The sequence below is a fragment of the Homo sapiens genome, chromosome 12 (genome assembly GCF_000001405.40).
Source record: "Homo sapiens chromosome 12, GRCh38.p14 Primary Assembly".
NCBI classification, from domain to species: domain Eukaryota; kingdom Metazoa; phylum Chordata; class Mammalia; order Primates; family Hominidae; genus Homo; species Homo sapiens.
The window spans coordinates 73,144,415-73,167,394 of record NC_000012.12 but is presented as its reverse complement, the minus strand read 5'-3'; the positions used below and the strand labels follow the sequence as shown (position 1 = coordinate 73,167,394).

At 35.2% G+C, this 22,980-nt stretch overlaps 1 long non-coding RNA gene across 1 annotated transcript in view; it reads right to left on the bottom strand.

The window, feature by feature from the left end:
* Positions 1-8,205, bottom strand: part of LINC02444 (long intergenic non-protein coding RNA 2444) — a 49,128-nt gene extending 40,923 nt beyond the window's left edge. The window contains exons 1-2 of the long non-coding RNA NR_110130.1: positions 7,952-8,205; positions 4,162-4,201 (exon numbers count right to left, since the gene is read on the bottom strand). This is a non-coding gene — a long non-coding RNA (long intergenic non-protein coding RNA 2444). The remainder of the gene's footprint in view (positions 1-4,161; positions 4,202-7,951) is intronic.
* Positions 8,206-22,980: the final 14,775 nt, after the last annotated feature.

The window sequence follows — 22,980 nt, the reverse complement described above, 5'->3', positions numbered from 1 at the left end:
CTAATAAAAACAACATAAAGCCAAATAAATTTGTTTTTCAAAATTTTATAAACAATCTACAAAATTTTAATCTTGACCATAAGATATAACTTCCATAAACCTTTAATAACTTTTATAACCTTTATTAAGGAGTCAGTTAATGCTTCAAGGAAAACTTAAGGTTTTCTTAACATAAGGGCCCATATGCTGGTCTTGCATCAATGTGCCTTTGACATTAATAATTAATTTATAGAGAAACTGCATTTATTTTATCTCTCAAAGTCTGCCCTCACAATCTCACACACCCATCTCTTCTGCGATATTTCCTGGGACTTGAGGAGTTGAATACCTTTAAATTCTGGCCCTATGTCTCAGGAACACAGTTTATTTGGTTTGGGATTTCTACCCGGCCTGAAGATGAGGTTTTAATTGCTGTCAATGTTTAAGATTTAGCAGGACTTGGTGTCCTTTTTAGACCTAGGAGTCAAAGCCCTGTATCTCAATGTCACAAGTACTTTGAAAGCAAATACTGAAAGACACATGGATGTAATAACCTTAATTAAAAAATATCAATCACAGTTTTTTTCCTAAGCAAACCAAAATTTAGTAATAATGACAGAGAAAATATTTCTATAAAACGTAAAATCTGCTAGGCCAGGTACCAAAAGACAAAAGAAATGACCTTCTGCTCTGCACAAAATATTATGTTGAAAGTAAACATTTCCTTTAGAACTTTAAGAAAACATTGTTAGCACTAGGACACATTAAACAGGACTCAAAGAAAAAAATCTTAATAAGTTGAAAATGAGTTGAAGGACCGTGTTACTATTTTGTGCCGTTTAAAATGGGTGAGAAAACAGAAAATGGTGAGATGCAATAAAAGTTAAACTTTGGGTTAAAAAAATTAAAACCTCTCATATTTTATTAGGAGTAAATCATTCCCTTAAGAAAACTTTATTGTTTTAACCAATTATTTATTCTATATGGTTTTTTCCTACGTCAAGCCCAATCTCTAGGAAGACCATTATAATTTTCCTTTAATTAATAGCTTGATCATATAAAAGTTTTTGTGCTTTTTCTTTTTTAATCCTCTTACTTTACTATGACTTTCACAGATTGTTCATGATCTGCTTGGATTTTCTAATTTTTTCTGACCATCCCTCTTTCTTAAATAACCAGTCATTTTATTCTAGGACTAAATCTACCATAGCAGATTCTATCACATATAAAATTATTTCCCTTTAAGTTTTCTTACAAAAAAACTTTATTTTTATAACTTTCTTTACAACCCTGTTATATCCTCATTCCTTTTACCTTGTTTTATATATAACCTTTAAATAAGCTTTGAATTAGACAATAATTATTCACCTCTTTTAAAAGGACACACTTTGTTTAAGAAAATATGTTTTCCTACAAATACATTTTTATTGGAAAGTGCCCAAATAATGAGATATCTATTATTTAGCTTAATATAACTTTAGATTATAGATTCTGACAAGTTTTTCTACATGTATTTATCCCATTACATTTGCCTAATTATTTTTTTAGTCATTTACCTAGATTATTTATGAAAACTGCAATAGTCATTGTTTAAAGTTATGGAACGGCCATTGCAAAATTGTAACAGACAGTAAAGAAGATATGACATAACTGATTCCATCTTGCTTCTAACCTCCAAGCTGTCCTCGTTCATTCCTGGGCACAGGAAAAATTAACTTTGGGAGGAACTTAATTTATTGTTTAGCTTTGGGACAGAGACAATAACAATCCCTTTCCAAAACAAACCTTGCTGCTTATGGACTAAACCACCCACAAGATTAGAAGTTATGGTAATCTAAACTAAATTCAAGAGGTAGCTATTTTCATTAAACTAATATTAATGTTTATTTATTAAAGATTACACAAGCAAAGATTATTCTGTGTTTTTAACCCCTATGCCAAATTTTGATACTTTATAGTATTTGGCAGGATAAGTATAAAATTGCTTGATTAATAAGTGCAAACAAAAATGTATGTTTTCAATTCTTAAGACATTTCTAATATTACTTTACCAATAATGTTAATGCTGGCTTATTTATTACAGATTTTACTTAAGTTACATAAACTTAAGTAAAAGTTAAGCATTTACTTAAGTTTACATAATTGAATTAAAATGAAAGCATGAAAAAACATATGACCAGTTTTTTTTCTGATAAAGTATTTAATTCAAGTGCTTTTATTTTCTTAAGCCAATTAATGAAAGCTTTTTTATATATATCAGTAGTGAAACACTGTGTACACAACACATAAATACATAGACGTATTAGGCATGTGGATAGAAGTACATCTTATAGATTCATAAAACTCCTGTTTTTTCCTACCTTAAACTTTCAAATTCTTGACAACCTGTTTTATTACCCTAGGTAGTTGTTAGCTAAATAGCCTTAAATTTGCATATTAAAGGAAACAACTCAGGTGAAAATCAAATAGCAAAATTTACATCATAGAGTATGGAGAGAAAAAGTCCTGTGTGCTAAAGAAAAATTAAAATGGAGTTGTCAATTAAACATAAAATTATAGAAATTATAAAAGTCTTTTAAATATATACACACACACATATACACACACACGAAGTTCCTATAGCTTTTACTTCAGAACTTTAGCCATGAGATAAATATAAAATTCAGCAGCTTGCAAAAATAACCTGTTGAATCCCAACAGTGGTTTTTATATTAATAGAAAAATAACAGCAGATTTAAAGCAGGCAGAAGAGAAAATAGAGAAAAGGAGAACTCAGGAACTCTATAGTTTGCTGGCTGACCTTAGGGCTCTTTTTCCTTAAAATAAATGTGCACAAAGACTATATTACTTCTATTTTACATAAACTCTGGCAAGTAGAAGTGCCATAAAACCTACGGAGTGCTCAAAAGGTTGTCATTATCCTTGTTTTCTCCTCATTCTTAGATTATTTGTTTCCCACTTTTTTAAAAAAAGGAGGAACTGAGTTGTGGCCTAGGGTTTTTGTGTGGTGGGTGGATGTATGCTCTTTGTGGGCAGGACTCCACATTGCATCACCACTGAGTTGTTTCCACCCTCTTGTGTGTCTCAATTTCTCTCTCCAGAGGTCTATAATCTCTGAGAGGACTCAAAATGCCAGGTGATCAGCCTTTATATGCATTTCCTGGATAAGCCTTTTTTTAATTAATTTTTTTTTGGGATTTCCCTGTAGGGCAGCTGCATGTCACAGGGATCAACCCCCCAGACACTCCCACGAGGCCCCTGGTCACCCAGGGGCACCTTTCAGCTGGGAGAAAGATATGCCTATTTCTTTTGAGCTGAGAAAACTCAGTCTCTCATTGACCTATGCAAACAACAGTTCAGTTGCTCATAGAAATGTGCACAGACAAGCCAAATGGAGATTAATTTTGGGAGAAAAAAGCGATAGAGATGACTCTTTAGAATGCATCTCAGAACTAGAATTAGGATCCTTAAACAACAACTTCCTAGGAGAGAAAAAAAAAAACAGCTAAGACCAATTTCTGTAAACTATGCACAACCACCCCTACTTTGTAGCTCTCATCTGCCATTACAAGTGCCAAGGTCAAATCCTCTCACAGTATTAAGTAATCTCTGGTACCCCCAAAGTCAAAGAGCCCAGATTATTCAATGTAGGAAAACAGAGGTTTAGACCTAAGAAGAATCTCCCCATGACTCTTGAAACTCCACAGAGGAAACAGAACACCCCAATGGGTGAATGGCACCTTTGTTCTGAATTCTTTAAAGAGGTTCAAGTCATTAGAAGCCGTCTCTAGATTTTTTGGTACAGCAGATGGCAAAAGGGAAAGGAGATATGGGGTGGAAAAAAAGTAAATGAAAGAACCTTTTTTTTTAAGACAGGAAGCAAACAGAGAAACCAAGGACATGGTTTTGTTTTTGTTGTTGCTGTGTTTTCTTGCTCTTTTGCAGCTGCAAGGAATTTTAGCCAAATTAGAAAGGTTTTGTTACCCATAATTTGGAATTCTCAGATTTGACCAAGTCAGGTAGAGTTGGTCAAATCTGATGGGGAAAAGACTGGAACAAACAACAAAAACAATAACAAAAACCCAGCCATATGATCACTGAGTGCTCTAATGGTAAGGAGAAATTAAGACCAGTTGATTGTTATACTTTAACCAAGAAAAAAAACTCAATTCAGCTACTTACCTAGGAATGGGTCTCAGGCTGAAGATTGCTTTCTACCATCCTAGAAGAAGGAAAAAAAAAAAAACTTGAACTCATCTTTCCTGCTGTGAGCAAGCTCAAACTCCATAAAGGAATTACCTGCCTTCCATCATTATGGAAACAGGAAATCTTGCCTTTCTTGTTGAAAGCAAGTAAACTCCAAAAAAAAAAAAAAAAAAAAAGTTAGAGGGGAGGGGGGTGAGTTGTACAGCAAAATAAACTTTAGATCTTGACCAAATTTCGGGAGATCAGGGATTCTCTGGAGGGGGTGCTCCCAGACCTCAGCAAATTGTCCTATTGGTTTGAGCCATTAAATCAGCTCATGCTGGTACCAAGCACCAATAGGAGATTTGTCAAAGGTCAGGGGCATCTCCACTCAGAATCCCTTCATTGTAACCAAAATGTGAACCCTCAAAATCTGAGACAGGTCTCAGTTAATTTCAAAAGTTTATTTTGCCGGCTGGGCACAGTACACCTGTAATTCCAGCACTTTGGGAGGCCGAGGCAGGCAGATCAACTGAGGTCAGGAGTTTGAGACCAGCCTGCCCAACATGGTGAAATCCCGTCTCTACTAAACATACAAAAAATTAGCTGGGCATGGTGGCAGGCACCTGTAGTCCCAGCTGCTCGGGAGGCTGAGGCAGGAGAATCGCTTGAACCTGGGAGGCGGAGATTGCAGTAAGCCGAGATCGCGCCACTGCACTCCAGCCTGGGCAACAAGAGTGAAACTCTGTCTCAAAAAAAAAAAAAAAAAAGTTTATTTTGCCAAGGTTGAGGGCATATGCTGTGACACAGACTCAGGAGGTTCTGCCTATGTGCCCAAGGTTGTCGGGACAAAGCTTGGTTTTACGCATTTTAGGGAGACATGAGACATCAATCAATATGTGTAAGATGCATATTGGTTCAGTCTGGAAAGGTGGGACAACTCAAGGTGAAGGCAGAACAACTTGAAATAGAGAGAGGGATTCCAGGTCATAGGTAGATAAGAAACAAATGGTTGCATTCTTTTGAGTTTCTGATTAGCCTCTCCACATGAGGCAATCAGATATGCATCTATCACAGCTATCAGAGGGATGACTTTGTATAGAACGGGAGACAGGTTTGCCCTAAGCAGTTCCCAGCTTGACTTTTCCCTTCAGCTTAGTGATTTTGGGGCCCCAAGATTTATTTTTCTTTCACACTGTCTAGAGAAGATATTTATTTTAAGAAATTGAATATTTATTTTAAGGAATTGGCAGTGGAGCTGGCAAGTTCAAAATCTACACAGTAGGTCACCAGGCTGGATATTGAGGTAAGAGATGATATTGTAATCTTATCACGCTAAAACTCAAGCATAGTTTTTATGTTGCAATCTTGAAGAGACTTCCTTCTGAGTATCGACTGCATTCCTCTTCCCTAGTTTCCATTGATTTACTGGAGCTCTTTGGTGATCTTTGGTTTGTAGATCTCTGCCTTCATCTTTATGTGATATTCTCACCATGTCCATGCCTCTATCCAAATTTTCCCTCCTTATAAGGACACCAGTCATGTTATATTACATCTCATCCTAGTGAACTCATCTTAACTGATTACATCTGCAACAACCCTATTTCCAAAAAAGGTGGCATTCTTCGGTCCAGAGGTTTAGGAGTTCAACATATGAATTTTGTGGATCCACAATTCAACCCAAAACATCCTTGTACTAGAAAGAGTTCAATAAATGAACAATATTATTTTCAGATATGAGCAGATACTTGAAGACTGAAATTAGAACTCTTTAAGAAAAGAACATGCAAATGATGTAAGAACATAAGGTAATTTGAGGAAAGGATACTTATTTGCCCTCTTAATTCTATGACATAAATAATGAAATAGACAAGATACAGTGTTTGCTAAGGGAACACAGACTTATAAATAAGAAGTTGTATCGGCTCTGGAAGCAGTTATTGATAAATTGAAGGAAGCAGAAATTCTAAGGAGGGAAAATACGTATAGATTTGGAAAATATTTTTGCCCTTTCTCAGTCCATGAGTTCAAAGTTATACAAATTCACTCCAGACGATAATTCAATTTTGAGAGTTCTCAGGAGCATATAATGAAGAATATTGATCTGATTGAAAAGCTCATGAATAGAAGGAATGGATTTTCTCATGCAAAGAAAAAGCACCTAAGAGGAGGAGATGGGAGCAACATAAAGTTTTTGAAAGGATTGTACGTCTTGTAAAAGAATTACAGTCTTATGTTACTAACTAATTATGGTAATTTCCAGCAGGAATTACACCTTTTCCATGAGCTAAATAAATAAAATGCCAAATGATCATATTCAGTCATATGAAATTTTATTCAAAATTATATCCTTTCTTTTTCAATTTCATATTTGGATTTTGGCAGTAGTCTGTATCCAGTTATAAAGTGTGAGAACTTAGAAGAACAATGGTTTTATTCTTCTCTTCTCATTTGGAAGTCTCATGCTTTGGTCAATTCTACATTTACAAATCAGCTTTTCCATTCCTTTACATTTGAACTGAATTCAAGTCCTTATTACCATTTAAATATATAGAAAGATACAATCATTACTGTTCTCACCTTCAGTTTATTATTCCCACTTCCAATCCATTTTTTATTGCCCACAGGTTAATCTCATAGTTTAATTGTGTGTCCTTCTGCATACAGAAAGATGAAACAACTTTTCATTACTCATTCATTCCCCAAATCATAATCTGTCATTTCTTCTCTGTGATAGATTACTAAAGGGCGACAAGGCTTCATCCTCCTTATCTTCATACCTTTTGTAATGTGATTTTTTTAGCTCTTTTTCTCAAGAAAATTTTTTTAGCTCTTTTTCTCCACCTAGGGATTTGCTTTGTTAGGTAGAAAGCTCTAAAAGTAACAGTTTGTCAATTCCAAATCCAGGCCTCAAGAGAGACTTTGCATGCTTTTGATCTTTCTGTATCCTGACATCATCATATGAATAAACTTATTAGATGATGAGTCATTTCCATTGACCCAGTTGAAAGCAGACCTCACATTAAACATATGAGTGAGGCTATCCTAGACCAGGGAGTCCCTACCAACTTATCATCTGACCACACTTGCATATGTGAGCCCAGCCAAGGTCAGGCAAGCTCAGCCCAGATGAGCAAAACCACCTAGAACAGCAGGACCATCTAGATTAGACAAAGACTCATATACAGTAATAGAATCTTGTGGTTTAAACCACTAAGTTTTAGGGTGATTTTTTTATGCATCAGTAAGTAAATGATACACAGCCCTTCAGAATCTGGACACAGTATAAGACCTTAATATACCCTAACATTTGGAATGTTTTTTGCATCTCAGTTACACCTGTTGAAATGGATTCTTCAAGGACAACTGGCAAATCTACTTAGTTACCGGAGCTGCTATCTAACTACTGGAATTCCTATTAGATTCTAATTGATACTGGATGCTGTTTTTCATTAAGTTTTGCAAGATAGTTTTCATACCTCTTTTATAATCCAGTGTTTCTTTACTTTGAATCTTTTTTACCTGAGGTAACCTAAATATAGCTATTTCAAAGAAACTAATATAATAATAGTGTAGATTTATTAAGATGATTGAATAGCACCGGTCCTAAAGGACTGACCAGTAACCATGTGGAATGTGTAAGGAATGGTTATAGGTAAAAGAAAGGAGCCTTTTACTCTTTTATGCATGTACCTAAAAAACTGCTAGACTTTTTAGGAAAATAAAGATTGCACCCGAATCAGATGATTCAAGAAATAGGATTTAGTAAAATCAAAAGTATATTCACCAAGAGGTTTTTCTTCTAATATGACTTATGTTCACACATGTTGAAAACAGAAGGACTCGCCAGGCGCAGGGGATCACGCCTGTAATCCCAGCACTTTAGGAGGCCGAAGCGGGTGGATCACGAGGTCAGGAAATCGAGACCATCCTGGCAAACACGGTGAAACCCAGTCTCTACTAAAAAAAATACAAAAAATTAGCCCGGCGTGGTGGCAGGCGCCTATAGTCCCAGCTACTTGGGAGGCTGAGGCAGAAGAATGGCGTGAACCCAGGAGGCGGAGCTTGCAGTCAGCCGAGATGGCGCCACGGCACTCCAGCCTGGGCGACAGAGAGAGACTCCGACTCCGTCTCAAAAAAAAAAAAGAAAAAGAAAATAGAAGGACTCAATGCTGCACAATGTATCAATTATTTGTCAATATGTAACTGTGTATCTAAAATTTTGATTTTGCCATTATAAACTATTGATTTAAGATTGGCAGATTATATTAGGTCTAAAATAATTTGATTCTCAAACATATACTTATAATAAAGATGCACTCTACAAAAGATTTGAGGAAAAAACAAAATTATATTGAACATGGAACAACATCTGGAAATATATCTGGTATTAAGAACTGGAAATATTTGAAGTATAATGGCATTTTTAAATAAAGTGGTTATATTGCATTTTTAAAGCATTTTTAATGCTATCACTAAAGTTATATTTTGAGAAGTGGTGTTTATTTTTGATAGACTAGAAATAATCCTTATAGAGTTCAATGTCTTCATCATAAGTTGATAAGAAAAATAAAGAGCAACTGGTACATGTCTGAGAATCTGAAAGAGTAGTTATCATATAGACTTTTGGAACCCATGCAAAATATGTTCTTAGGTGTAAATGTTTTGAATGCCTTTATGTGTTTATTGCTTCATAAGCATTTTATTATTTACCCTAGAATGATATGAGCTATATCACAATTATTATTGCTTGTTAAGCTCTGCTTCACCCTGCAGAATTTTTGCACTAATGTTTTTTGGCTTGTATTGTATACTAACATGTCATGTGAGATATATTGATTCATGCATTCAACAAATAATTATTGAGCAAAAAATCTAAGCAATATGCTCCACTAGGTCTAGGATTTATAGCCCTCAGAGAGCTTATATTCTAGCATGAAAAAAAAAATAAACCAGCAAACAAAACAATTGAATGTGCAAAAGGGTGAGGAATGTATAAATAAATGGTGAGAAACAAGATAAGGGGAATACAGAATGGTACTTGTCAGGCAAGGAACTGTTAACACCTGATGAAAGTGCTGAAAAGAGCCTATAGAGATGTTAAGGAAGGATGTTCCATGAAGAACAGACTCATTATAGATAAGAAATCAAAAGAAGGTTGAAATAAGAAATCAGTAGAATATGTCATTAGAGAAGTGAGGAAATTTCACTGGACCCTTTAGATCACTGTATGGAATTTGACTTCTATTGCAAGTGCCATGGGAAGCCATTTGATTGTTCGGTTAAGGGGAAACATAGAACCTTACTTATGGTCAGTCATCAGTGCTGTGAGGACAAGGGTGAAAGAATGAAAACATTAAGAAGCTATTGTCATAATACAGGTAAGAGTTAATTTCAGCTCAGATGTGTGATACAGTAGCAGCTGATATGGTGGGAAGTGGTTGATTCTGGATATCTTTTGAAGATAGAAGTAAGATTTGTTAATGGATTAGATGGAGTTTGTGAACTATAGTCTAGTCAAGAAAAATGAAGAGGAGAAAGGAACAAAAGTAGCAAAGGAAAGAAGGGCATCGATTGTTAACTGAGTATATTAATTGCAGTTCATTTTAAGTGCAACTTTTTCTTATAATTGAACTAATACAAAGGCCACAATTTTGTAGTAAACTCAATTTTAAATTCAAGTATAATATCTTGAGTACTTTTTTCAGGAAACCATTTTAATGATACTTAAATTTCCATGATAAGATGCTGCTAATATTATTTCATGATTTCACTATTTCTGTACCATTATTTTATATTTAACTCTTTTGCTATTATAAACATCCATACTTTTGGTACTTTATGGGTAGTTTTTATCCACATTTATGATTATTTCATTAAGATAGATTCCCATGAGTCTTTTTCAAAACTTAAAATGGAACTCTTGAGTTAAAGAGTATAAACATACCTGAAACTAGTAATAAGCATTGCCAGATTGTCTTACAGAAAGTCTCACCCATTCACATCTTATCATTGTTGTACAGCTTATAAATTACATTGCCCTTGCCAGAAGTTATCTATCTATCTATCTATCTATCTATCTATCTATCTATCTATCTATCTATAAAGGACACTGATACCTGAGAAATATTTCCTTTTTATGTATTTAAATATCTGATTTGAAGTAAGGTTAATTGTTTTTCTATGAGTAATTATAAGACATTTTTAATTTCTGCTTGTGTGTATGTAATTTGCCTTTGCTTGTTTGCTGCTCATTATTTCTACTGGAGTTTTATTTTGTAAATATATTATTTTATGAATTCTTTATCTTTTAATATCATTACTTATATATCATACATACTGCAAAATATTCACTAATCTGTTGTTTAGTGTTTCTACTGTTTTGCATATTCTATTGTACTGTCTTCATCTGTTTTTAATTTAAATTTGCTTATATAGTCAACCTTGTCTTCTTTCTATAGCTAATAAAATTTTCCACATTTTATGATTAATATTTTTTTGTTTCATAATCAACCACTTGAAATTTATTCTGTTGCATGGTGTGACATGAAAACAATCCGATTTTTTAACATAAACTTCATTTCAAAATTATTTATTGAAAAATCTTGGATATACCACTTATTTTAGTATATATGTAAACATGAAATACAGACCAGAGTTTGTATTTCAGTTGTGGTCTTGCTAACTGCCTATCTATTCTTAAGCCAACAGCAGAACTAGTTTTAACCAGTATGGTGTTAAAACATAGTTCATATATTACAGAATTAGCTCTCCCATGTAACTCATTTTCCAATATCCTGGAGTTTAAAATTACCTGGAATTCTTCCAGATGAATTTCACAGAGTTTTATTTTTCTAGCTAATTTTTTTTCAGATGTCAATATGACTGAGATTGTTATTAAAATTACCTTAAATTTGGCAAAAATTATAGAAATATTAGTGCTATCTTAAATTATTCAAGTTATTTTTATATTCTGCAGTAAAGTATTGTGATTTTTATTTCCATAGCCCACTGATTTCCTCAGATGGCTATTTGCTGGCTGTTTTTTTGGGAGTACCTGATGCAATTTGGCTTTTAAAAAATACATTATACATTCCCAGTTATTGCTGAATATAATATCACTTATTTTACTTTATTTTTACATTTTATTTTGTTTTACTAGAAAGGGATTGCTGTGAGATTAATCTAAATAGGTCTGAATACATTTATAATGGATGATGTCTGAGGCAAAATGCGATTTTCAGGTTGCCTGAATTTTCTTCCTCCTGTGGACTTAAAGGTAGAGGAAGCTTTTGGTTTTCAGTAATATTCTCCCTTCTTTAGAGGAACCAATATGAGCAATCCTTTTAATTTATGCAAATCTAAAGGAAGCCCTGTATCTGGGATGGTGGGATGCTTCTGATTGAGAAATTAAGCATTCCATTTAATCATGAACTAGATATTCATTCCAGGCACAGAGACATCTCTGTGATATTATGAACTATATATTTTTTTCTTTCAGTGGAGGGGGCTATTCTGCTGGAAGTTGAGTTCTTAGAATCTAGAGTCTAGAGAGGGAGATTTTTAAAAAGAGACTACTGTTCAGGCTAGATCCAAGGAGAGGGGATACTCCCAGGGAGGAAATTAACCAGTGGACTCTAGGAGGAGTAAGACCTGATTATCTGGTTTTAGGGTTTCATTTTATGCATTGTAATTCCTTTATGTTATCCTCAGCATTTGATAAAGTTTGTTAAACAATCAGCCTAGTTTTAGCTCTAATTTGGGAAATTAAGAGAATAATTTGAAGCATAATGGAGCAGGAAGAATTGTGGCAGCTTGGGGAACTATGAAAAGGTCAGAATTGTTAAGTGGAGACTCATAAGAAAGACAGTTTTACAGGATATATAAAGGCACTCATCCTGGGGAATGTTCAGGATTATATGAATGCTGGAGTGAGCTTTTTTCAAAATAGATGATGGTTTCTCACACTATATTATCTATATATTAACGAAAATGCTTATCCACACAGACCGACTACCACCTCCCATACATATGCACCCTCAATTCAAAAAGAAATATTACATTTATCATAGATCCAGTTTTTTTTAAAGCTGTCTTTGTAAATCTAGTAATTCTCAGTTGACTCTTTAGAAATTCTAGATATATAACTGTGATGTTAGACAATTATAATTTAACACTTTGCTTGTTAAAAGTTTCATTTCTCATATCTGTTTCATTTATTCATGTGTTAGCCAGAACATTTAGAGTCATATAAAATAACAACAGCAGTTACAGACATCTTCACTTTCTTCCTGGTTTTCATGAGTATATCTTTAGTGAATTACCATGTTTCGTGTTAGCTTTTGGCTTGAGGTACATATTTTATATAATTTTATGAAAATACCCCTACATTCCCGCTTTCTTAAATTAGTTAATTTTATTAAAGGATTCCACTGCAGATTATAAAATGAACTTCAGGAACTCCTTAGGTGATATTTTCTAATTTTCTTATTGACACATATTAATAGATTTTTAATTAACAAACTATCACTGAATTTCCAAGGTAAATCCTACTTAATTTTAGTGAATTGTAATTGTCATATATATTTTTTGTTTCTGGTTTCAAGTAATAGAGACTCAGTTGCAAGATGCTATCAAGAAAAAGCAGGTGGGGAGTGAATGCCACATAGTGAATTCTAAGGGTAGACACGCTTGTACCTCATAACTGAATTCAGGAGCTTAGATTCATGCAGGCATTATCACAATTTCCATTACTGGGTTATAATGCTCTGTGTGTATTGACTTAATTATTTTGCAGTGTTCTTTCATAAGAGGAGAAAGATGGCTTCTAACAACTTGAAGTCTACAAAGCTTTTTAAATCTTGCAATTCACAAAGAAACAGTGTATCTCTTTTTTATTGTATTAAATATGAGAAAATATTATGCTTAACACTACTTGGGTGAAATATTTCACCTTCATTGAATCAACATATCCAAGAAAAATGCAGTAGTCTGATAGAACATATTTGGTCATTTGTCCATTCTTATGACAAAACAGTAGGGGATGCTGACTGGATAGCTTCAAAGATAACATAACAACAAAGATTTTTTTAATAAAACAAAGCAAGATACTGTAACCAGAAGTGACGGTAATGGATACAGTGCAGGTATAATTCAGTTCTTCTTGTGGCAAGATTCACATATATATATATTATATATATATATACACACACACACATATATATAAAATATATAAGTATATATTATAATTTATATAAATAGTAATGCTGATTGTTTTTTGGTTCTATGTAAACTGTATAAAGATTAACATAACTAAAAAAATTTCTGTATCTTTTTTCACATTTTATTCATTTTCTGTGACACATTATAGCAATAATAATAATAATTATGCTCTCAAGAGTGAAAGAACTCACCTGAAGAATCCTCTTCCTTCATGGTCTTCTGTAGAAGTATTTCCTTCCAAGATTATTAGCTTCTTATTTTTAGAGTCTATTCTAGTTATTTCTATTTTCCAGAAAGGCATTCATTGCATTTATAAGTTCAATCACACACAAGGATTATAATGAAAGTTTAAAAAGATAGTTTGGGGGAGGAGCCAAGATGGCCGAATAGGAACAGCTCCGGTCTACAGCTCCCAGCGTGAGCGACACAGAAGACGGGTGATTTCTGCATTTCCATCTGAGGTACCGGGTTCATCTCACTAGGGAGTGCCAGACAGTGGCCGCAGGTCAGTGGGTGAGCGCACCGTGCATGAGCCGAAGCAGGGTGAGGCATTGCCTCACTTGGGAATCGCAAGGGATCAGGGAGTTCCCTTTCCGAGTCAAAGAAAGGGGTGACAGACAGCACCTGGAAAATCGGGTCACTCCCACCCGAATACTGCGCTTTTCCAACAGGCTTAAAAAACGGCGCACCACAAGATTATATCCCACACCTGGCTAGGACGGTCCTACACCCACCGAGTCTCGCTAATTGCTAGCACAGCAGTCTGAGATCAAACTGCAAGGCGGCAGCCAGGCTGGGTGAGGGGCGCCCGCCATTGCCCAGGCTTGATTAGGTAAACAAAGCAGCTGGGAAGCTCGAACTGGGTGGAGCCCACCACAGCTCAAGGAGGCCTGCCTGCCTGTGTAGGCTCCACCTCTGGGGGCAGGGCACAGACAAACAAAAAGACAGCAGTAACTTCTGCAGACTTAAATGTCCCTGTCTGACAGCTTTGAAGAGAGCAGTGGTTCTCCCAGCACGCAGCTGGAGATCTGAGAACGGGCAGACTGCCTCCTCAAGTGGGTCCCTGACCCCAGACCCCCAAGCAGCCTAATTGGGAGGCACCCCCAGCAGGGGCACACTGACACCTCACACGGCAGGGTATTCCAACAGACCTGCAGCGGAGGGTCCTGTCCGTTAGAAGGAAAACTAACAAACAGAAAGGACATCCACACCAAAAACCCATCTGTACATCACCATCATCAAAGACCAAAAGTAGATAAAACCACAACGATGGGGAAAAAACAGAACAGAAAAACTGGAAACTCTAAAAAGCAGAGGGCCTCTCCTCCTCCAAAGGAACGCAGTTCCTCACCAGCAACGGAACAAAGCTGGGCGGAGAATGACTTTGACGAGCTGAGAGAAGAAGGCTTCAGACGATCAAATTACTCTGAGCTACGGGAGGACATTCAAAGCAAAGGCAAAGAAGTTGAAAACTTTGAAAAAAATTTAGAAGAATGTATAACTAGAATAACCAATACAGAGAAGTGCTTAAAGGAGCTGATGGAGCTGAAAACCAAGGCTCGAGAACTACGTGAAGAATGCAGAAGCCTCAGGAGCCGATGCGATCAACTGGAAGAAAGGGTATCAGCAATGGAAGACGAAATGAATGAAATGAAGTGAGAAGGGAAGTTTAGAGAAAAAAGAATAAAAAGAAATGAGCAAAGCCTCCAAGAAATATGGGACTATGTGAAAAGACCAAATCTACGTCTGATTGGTGTACCTGAAAGTGATGGGGAGAATGGAACCAAGTTGGAAAACACGCTGCAGGATATTATCCAGGAGAATTTCCCCAATCTAGCAAGGCAGGCCAACGTTCAGATTCAGGAAATACAGAGAACGCCACAAAGATACTCCTCCAGAAGAGCAACTCCAAAACACATATTTGTCAGATTCACCAAAGTTGAAATGAAGGAAAAAATGTTAAGGGCAGCCAGAGAGAAAGGGTGGGTTACCCTCAAAGGGAAGCCCATCAGACTAACAGCGGATCTCTCGGCAGAAAACCTACAAGCCAGAAGAGAGTGGGGGCCAATATTCAACATTCTTAAAGAAAAGAATTTTCAACCCAGAATTTCATATCCAGCCAAACTAAGCTTCATAAGTGAAGGAGAAATAAAATACAGACAAGCAAATGCTGAGAGATTTTGTCACCACCAGGCCTGCCCTAAAAGAGCTCCTGAAGGAAGCGCTAAATATGGAAAGGAACAACCGGTACCAGCCACTGCAAAATCATGCCAAAATGTAAAGACCATCGAGATTAGGAAGAAACTGCATCAACTAACGAGCAAAATAACCAGCTAACATCATAATGACAGGATCAAATTCACACATAACAATATTAACTTTAAATGTAAATGGACTAAATGCTCCAATTAAAAGACACAGACTGGCAAATTGGATAAAGAGTCAAGACCCATCAGTGTGCTGTATTCAGGAAACCCATCTCACATGCAGAGACACACATAGGCTCAAAATAAAAGGATGGAAGAAGATCTACCAAGCAAATGGAAAACAAAAAAAGGCAGGGGTTGCAATCCTAGTCTTGGATAAAACAGACTTTAAACGAACAAAGATCAAAAGAGACAAAGAAGGCCATTACATAATGGTAAAGGGATCAATTCAACAAGAAGAGCTAACTATCCTAAATATATATGCACCCAATACAGGAGCACCAACATTCATAAAGCAAGTCCTGAGTGACCTACAAAGAGACTTAGACTCCCACACATTAATAATGGGAGACTTTAACACCCCACTGTCAACATTAGACAGATCAACGAGACAGAAAGTCAACAAGGATACCCAGGAATTGAACTCAGCTCTGCACCAAGCGGACCTAATAGACATCTACAGAACTCTCCACCCCAAATCAACAGAATATACATTTTTTTCAGCACCACACCACACCTATTCCAAAATTGACCACATACTTGGAAGTAAAGCTCTCCTCAGCAAATGTAAAAGAACAGAAATTATAACAAACTATCTCTCAGACAACAGTGCAATCAAACTAGAACTCAGGATTAAGAATCTCACTCAAAACTGCTCAACTACATGGAAACTGAACAACCTGCTCCTGAATGACTACTGGGTACATAACGAAATGAAGGCAGAAATAAAGATGTTCTTTGAAACCAACGAGAACAAAAACACAAAATACCAGAATCTCTGGGACGCATTCAAAGCAGTGTGTAGAGGGAAAATTATAGCACTAAATGCCCACAAGAGAAAGCAGGAAAGATCCAAAATTGACACCCTAACATCACAATTAAAAGAACTAGAAAAGCAAGAGCAAACACATTCAAAAGCTAGCAGAAGGCAAGCAATAACTAAAATCAGAGCAGAACTGAAGGAAATAGAGACACAAAAAACCCTTCAAAAAATTAATGAATCCAGGTGCTGGTTTTTTGAAAGGATCAACAAAATTGATAGATCACTAGCAAGACTAATAAAGAAAAAAAGAGAGAAGAATCAAATAGACACAATAAAAAATGATAAAGGGGATATCACCACTGATCCCACAGAAATACAAACTACCATCGGAGAATACTACAAACACCTCTACGCAAATAAACTAGAAAATCTAGAAGAAATGGATAAATTCCTCGACACATACATTCTCCCAAGACTAAACCAGGAAGAAGTTGAATCTCTGAATAGACCAATAACAGGAGCTGAAATTGTGGCAATAATCAATAGCTTACCAACCAAAAAGAGTCCAGGACCAGATGGATTCACAGCCGAATTCTACCAGAGGTACAAGGAGGAACTGGTACCATTCCTTCTGAAACTATTCCAATCAATAGAAAAAGAGGGAATCCTCCCTAACTCATTTTATGAGGCCAGCATCATTCTGATACCAAAGCCAGGCAGAGAAACAACAAAAAAAGAGAATTTTAGACCAATATCCTTGATGAACATTGATGCAAAAATCCTCAATAAAATACTGGCAAAACGAATCCAGCAGCACATCAAAAATCTTATCCACCATGATCAAGTGGGCTTCACCCCTGGGATGCAAGGCTGGTTCAATATACACAAATCAATAAATGTAATCCAGCATATAAACAGAGCCAAAGACAAAAACCACATGATTATCTCAATAGATGCAGAAAAAGCCTTTGACAAAATTCAACAACCATTCATGGTAAAAACTCTCAATAAATTAGGTATTGATGGGACGTATTTCAAAATAATAAGAGCTATCTATGACAAACCCACAGCCAATATCATACTGAATGGGCAAAAACTGGAAGCATTCCCTTTGAAAACTGGCACAAGACAGGGATGCCCTCTCTCACCACTCCTATTCAACATAGTGTTGGAAGTTCTGGCCAGGGCAATTAGGCAGGAGAAGGAAATAAAGGGTATTCAATTCGGAAAAGAGGAAGTCAAATTGTCCCTGTTTGCAGATGACATGATTGTATATCTAGAAAACCCCATTGTCTCAGCCCAAAATCTCCTTAAGCTGATAAGCAACTTCAGCAAAGTCTCAGGATACAAAATCAATGTACAAAAATCACAAGCATTCTTATACACCAACAACTGACAAACACAGAGCCAAATCATGAGTGAATTCCCATTCACAATTGCTTCAAAGAGAATAAAATACCTAGGAATCCAACTTACAAGGGATGTGAAGGACCTCTTCAAGGAGAACTACAAACCACTGCTCAAGGAAATAAAAGAGGATACAAAGAAATGGAAGAACATTCCATGCTCATGGGTAGGAAGAATCAATATCGTGAAAATGGCCATACTGCCCAAGGTAATTTATAGATTCAATGCCATCCCCATCAAGCTACCAATGCCTTTCTTCACAGAATTGGAAAAAGCTACTTTAAAGTTCATATGGAACCAAAAAAGAGCCTGCATCGCCAAGTCAATCCTAAGCCAAAAGAACAAAGCTGGAGGCATCACACTACCTGACTTCAAACTATACTACAAGGCTACAGTAACCAAAACAGCATGGTACTGGTACCAAAACAGAGATATAGATCAATGGAACAGAACAGAGCCCTCAGAAATAACGCCGCATATCTACAACTATCTGATCTTTGACAAACCTGACAAAAACAAGCAATGGGGAAAGGATTCCCTATTTAATAAATGGTGCTGGGAAAACTGGCTAGCCATATGTAGAAAGCTGAAACTGGATCCCTTCCTTACACCTTATACAAAAATCAATTCAAGATGGATTAAAGACTTAAACGTTAGACCTAAAACCATAAAAACCCTAGAAGAAAACCTAGGCATTACCATTCAGGACATAGGCATGGGCAAGGACTTCATGTCCAAAACACCAAAAGCAATGGCAACAAAAGCCAAAATTGACAAATGGGATCTAATTAAACTAAAGAGCTTCTGCACAGCAAAAGAAACTACCATCAGAGTGAACAGGCAACCTACAGAATGGGAGAAAATTTTCGCAACCTACTCATCTGACAAAGGGCTAATATCCAGAATCTACAATGAACTCAAACAAATTTACAAGAAAAAAACAAACAACCCCATCAAAAAGCGGACGAAGGACATGAACAGACACTTCTCAAAAGAAGACATTTATGCAGCCAAAAAACACATGAAAAAATGCTCATCATCACTGGCCATCAGAGAAATGCAAATCAAAACCACAATGAGATACCATCTCACACCAGTTAGAATGGCAATCATTAAAAAGTCAGGAAACAACAGGTGCTGGAGAGGATGTGGAGAAATAGGAACACTTTTACACTGTTGGTGGGACTGTAAACTAGTTCAACCATTGTGGAAGTCAGTGTGGCGATTCCTCAGGGATCTAGAACTAGAAATACCATTTGACCCAGCCATCCCATTACTGGGTATATACCCAAAGGACTATAAATCATGCTGCTATAAAGACACATGCACACATATGTTTATTGCGGCATTATTCACGATAGCAAAGACTGGGAACCAACCCAAATGTCCAACAATGATAGACTGGATTAAGAAAATGTGGCACATATACACCATGGAATACTATGCAGCCATAAAAAATGATGAGTTCATGTCCTTTGTAGGGACATGGATGAAATTGGAAATCATCATTCTCAGTAAACTATCGCAAGAAGAAAAAACCAAACACCGCATATTCTCACTCATAGGTGGGAATTGAACAATGAGATCACATGGACACAGGAAGGGGAATATCACACTCTGGGGACTGTTGTGGGGTGGAGGGAGCGGGGAGGGATAGCATTAGGAGATATACCTAATGCTAGATGACGAGTTAGTGGGTGCAGTGCACCAGCATGTCACATGTATACATTTGCAACTAACCTGCACAATGTGCACGTGTACCCTAGAACTTAAAAGTATAATAATAAAAATAAAAATAAAAAAAAAAGATGCAAACCTATTCAATAAAAAAAAATAAAAAAATAAAAAGATAGTTTGAATTTACTCAGAATCAACTCAGGTAGAAAAATGAAAACACAGAATTTAAATAATTACAATCTTTTTAAAATTTACTTTATCTGTGTTTCTTGTTCCTTCAAAGGATACTTCTAGAGATTATTAGTTAATTTTACTTTGAATCTTTTTTCTATTTATTTTCCATATTTTTATTGTTAATTTTTTTGAAGTTACACTTATTTTTTCTTAAATTTATTGGCTAGATTGTGTCATTTTTTCTTTAGGATTAATAAAGTCTTTAATTTTAAGACATGAATTCATTTCTGAATTCATCTTTGGCTTAACCTTTTAAACATATTTGATTTTACCCTTTGACCTACTTTTGTAAATCTTCTGGAGTCAGGTTTTACATTTTAAAATTTGTTACTAATTTCTTACTCTATGTAACATAGTGTCAATATCAGTGTCTGCTACTTGAACTGAGTCTGCAACATGCTAGCATTTTATACTCATTCCTTTTTTATGACCTAATATAACTCCATGTTTTTAAAATGTTCAGTAAATTCTGAAAAGAAAGTAAAATTATTTCATTTGTAATGAAATGGTTTTACTATATATCCGCTATTTTGTATTAAGTGTGTTTTCTCTATTTGGATCTCTATTTGGATCACCTTATGTGTCATAGACTGCGGGGTGTTTGCTAAAAATCTCTCAATGAACATATATTTCTTTAGATTTTTCTTTTTAAGGCAAAATCTTTTTTTAGATTTATGTTGCAACTACATTATTGGACACCAAAATATCACATTATTATAGGTTAGAGTTAATATAAATTTACTTTCATCGTTTAAGATTATATCTCACATTAATTCTACTTTTAGGATGTTATGGGTTGAATTGTGCTCCCCCGAAATGCATATGATGAAGTCCAACCCCTAGTACCTCAGAATGTTACTGTATCTGGGTATAGGGGTCATTGCTATGTAATTAGTTAATAAGATCATACTGGAATAGGGTGGTCCCAAATCCAATGTGACTAGTGTCTTTATAATGGAATATTTGGACACAGATACCCGTGCTTGGGGAGAATGTCATGGAAAGGGACACAGGAGACTAGAGCCATCCACAAGCCAGTGTCTGAAGCTACCAGAAGCTAGGAGCAATGCCTAGAAGACACTCTTTCCTAATGCCTTCCAGTGGAATATAACCCTGCTGATATTTTGATTTTGGACTTCTGGCCTCCAACATAATGAATTTCTATTGTTCTAAATTACCTAGTTTGTGGTACTTTGTTATAGCAGCCCTAGAAAGCTAATACATAGGATGATAGTTTTGGTGTTATTGAATTATTTCTCTTCTGTTGTATTTTTCACTTCTTCCATCAATTATATTGTAGATTCTCATTTGCAACCTTAGTATATGGTACGGACTTTAGTTTTTCTTTCAAAAGTATCATATAACTGGAGTTTTCCTCTGCTATAAACTAAAGAAATTTAAAGCATTTATGCTTATTCTTTTCCAATTAGATGTTTGTATATAAACCTTGTATCTTTATGCTGTGATGCTATTTTGCTTATTTTTGTCTCATTGTCCAGTTAATGTACAGTTTACATGTATCTTTTAAATGGATTTGATATGTATGTAAAATGTTTCCCTTAAGCTTACAAAATATGTACTTCAACAAAACTTCTCTAATTATGAAAAGTAAAAGCAAAGAATAAGTTTGATCTTCTGTATTTATCAGAAGAAATTGTTTACATTGTTTTTCCTAATATACATTCTTAATAGCATTTCCTTTCTTCCTAGCATGTGTTGACATATTCAAAAAATATAGCCTGACTATTATTATACTCATACTGTCTTACTTTAGTTATATTTTATTTTTAAGTTGCTTTTCTATTTGCCTTCAACTATAACTACCAATTACATCAATTATTCCTAACTTATTATAAAATATGTATTCTTACAAACATTTCCTAATCTTTCTGTAATAAGAATTTTTCCTATTAGACAAATTCTTATTACATTAGACTAGTAATCTCTAAATTAGACTTCTCTCATTAGACTAGTAATCTCTAAATAATATTTTAAGGAAATATGTTTTTTGAGCTCTTGCATAGTTCAGAATGTAATTATGTTAGAATTGTACAAAAACAATACTTTTACTAAGTCTTGGCTGTGGTTATGATGGTTCCCAATGAATTTCTCTTTCAAAAGTAAATGACTTTATATCATTAGGTTGGTGGAAAAGTTATTGCGATTTTGCCATTAAAATAATAATAGAATAGAAAAGTAAGAATAGAATAACAGAATTTGCCAACCTAATCATAGAATCCTGGCTTAATGAGAAGGGAATAGACATGTTAGATGATTCACTTTTCTTGTAAATATTAATTGAGTTCTGACTATGTGCTAGGATGAAGGTACAGCAGTTAAAAAGAAAGTAAAAGAAGTGACCTTTTGATAATAAGTGATAGAGAAAAAAAATAACATGAAATAGGATAGCTGTGGAAGAGGTTGTACTTTTAAATAGGCAGGCCAGGAAAGAAAAAAAAAATCTATCAAAGATTTTTGCTACTTGTTTATAGCCTTTATTGCTGTTCTGATTTAACTTGTTGTATGCTTAGTTTCTCCATAATGTTTTTCCAGTAAACCCTCTATAATTGCAGTTAGTATAACTGCCTCTCACTTACTTGCCCACTTATTCTTTGGACGATGTAATTGCTTCCTCTGAATCTTATTTGGAATGCCTCAACTGGTTTGTTTCTTAATATCACAAATCATGGCTCTTTCATTAATTTATAGGAGAAATAAAGAGGAAATGCCTATAACAGTCAGATATTATATTATCTACTTGGTATGGACTATAATATATTACTTCTACAATATTTGGAATATAGTAGGCATTTTCCTTTGTGAGTTTATTTTCTTTCTTCTTTTGACTTAGAATATTTTTCTTTTTTCTCACACATATACAATATGGTACAGCGTATCTTGAAATAGCCTTCCATGATATTTTTTCATAATATATTACCTTTATACACTACCTTCATTGTTAGAATATTTATTTGCATATTTTAACTCTTCACATGAAAACTTAGGAATATGATTTCAGTATTTCCCATTGAATTGCAGTTTCAGCCTGACTCAGGAGCAAGCAAGAATGTCCCCAACCAGACAGGT